The following is a 1,987-nucleotide window of genomic DNA, read 5'->3' as shown; positions in this document are numbered from 1 at the left end:
ATGAAATAAAGGTGGCTAATCAGCTCACCTTAAAATGGGGAGATTATGCTAGATCATCTGGATAGGAATAATGTATTCATAATGTCCCTCAATAGTGGAAGAGCAAGGCTGAAGTGGAGGTTGGAGGTTGCACGGAGGAAAGACTCAATCTGTCTTTGCTGGCTTTGAGGATATAGAAATGGTAACAGGAGGCACACAATGCTGGAAAAGGCAAGAAATGGATTCTCCCTTGGAGTATTATTGGTGTCAGACTTCTGACCTACAGAACTATAAGACAATACATTTGTGTTATTTGAAGCCACTATGTTTGTGGTAATTTATTACAGCAGTAATAGAAAGGGAATACAACCCCCATCTCTGACAGACATTTGCTCTTAGATAGTAGGAGTGAGAAAAAGTTCATATTTGCACCTCAAAAAAAGATTCTTTCTCTATTTTATTAAATGTTTTATCAATCTTATTTTCTGTGGTAGTTTTTTTTATCTTTTCAGGAACAAGTCTTCAATTTTTTATATACATAATTTCCATTTTCATTTTCTGAATGGTGTACTTAATAAATTTCATTAATGACCTTGATTATATATTTTGAAAATTATATTTGCTTATCAGACTCAAATTCATAAAATGACATGCATTTGGAAGGAAAAATCGTAGTTGTGCAATAATCTTTCTGAATATATGTTGATCCTCACTCTTCAAGAAAAAGCCCGTAAGCTTTAGGTTCTATGATAGCTGCAACCATGTGTCTCTCCCAGAGTACACCAGATTTTCCCTTGTGTCTGAGCAGGGAGTACCTTCTTCCTATACCAAGATATTTTTCCCTTTTAAATTTGCCTGGCCCACTCCTTATCTTCCAGGCCTCAGCTTAAACAGCACTTCTTTTTGGAAGAATAGCCTCCTGCCTATTAGATTGTATTTTCTATGTACTTTCACCTCACCCCATACACCAAAAAATAATCCTAAATTGTATCACACTGAATTTTAATTTACTGTTTTATTCCTGCTATTTTTTCTCACAATCATTGTGCCTTAGAAACAATATCAAAAATAATGCAATAATCTTAAGCTCCAAAAAAGATAAAAGAAACAGCTAGTGCAATGGTTTTGAGGATGGCGCGTCCTTTGCCTGAAGACCAAGGTGGCAAGTGTCGGGTAAGAGGTAGGGACAGGAGAAGGTACTGATGTTTGATGTTGCCTTGGAGACACTATTACAGAGTTGGATTTAACTCTGAGTGAAGTGAAAAGATTTTGGAAAATTTGTGGAAGAACTAATGCTAAGAACCATCCTACAGAGACCACATCAAGAGTAAAGAGAGAATTGCTCATGGTGTCTAAGAGTTGCAGTAGACAAGACATTGGGACCGTCTCTGAGCCATACCAAATGGGACTTCTGAGAGTTGTTCCTGCTAGGAGGAACAGGCTCTGGAATACACTGAGAGCCAATGCCAAGGAGACCCAATGGGAGTGATGACATCTGCAGCCAGTCCTTAGGGGCAACTGCTAATATGCAGTCTCACAGCCAGGAAGTGTCTGCTTCAAGAACAGATGCCAGGAGACACTTGAGGTGTCTTCTTCATGAAATAAAACTTGTGTGTAACTACAGGGCACACTTACACTTGATGGCATTGGAAGAAATCTCAGAAATTCTAGGTGGATAATCCAACAAACCATGAAAACCTTGGGTAGAAGAAATTTAGAATGTTTTTTTTTTTTTTTTTTTTTTGGTAGGGAGTGGCTGAGATGGATATCTAGCTCTCACAGAAAGAAATGGAAGGGACGAGTAAATACAACACCTTCAACCGAAACATTCAGGTACTCACATTGGGACTAATCAAGAAAACAAATTGACCCCCACAGAGAATGAAGAAAAACAAGGCAGTACAAGAGCTCACCTGGGAGCAGCATGGAGATGGAGCCAAAGGAACCTCCCTCATCCAGGGAAGTGATGAGTGAATGAGTGACCCCAGGAAACTGTGCTTCTCCTGTG

This window comes from Homo sapiens, chromosome 4 (assembly GCF_000001405.40).
Source record: "Homo sapiens chromosome 4, GRCh38.p14 Primary Assembly".
Classification (NCBI taxonomy): domain Eukaryota; kingdom Metazoa; phylum Chordata; class Mammalia; order Primates; family Hominidae; genus Homo; species Homo sapiens.
This window is presented reverse-complemented; position numbering follows the sequence as displayed.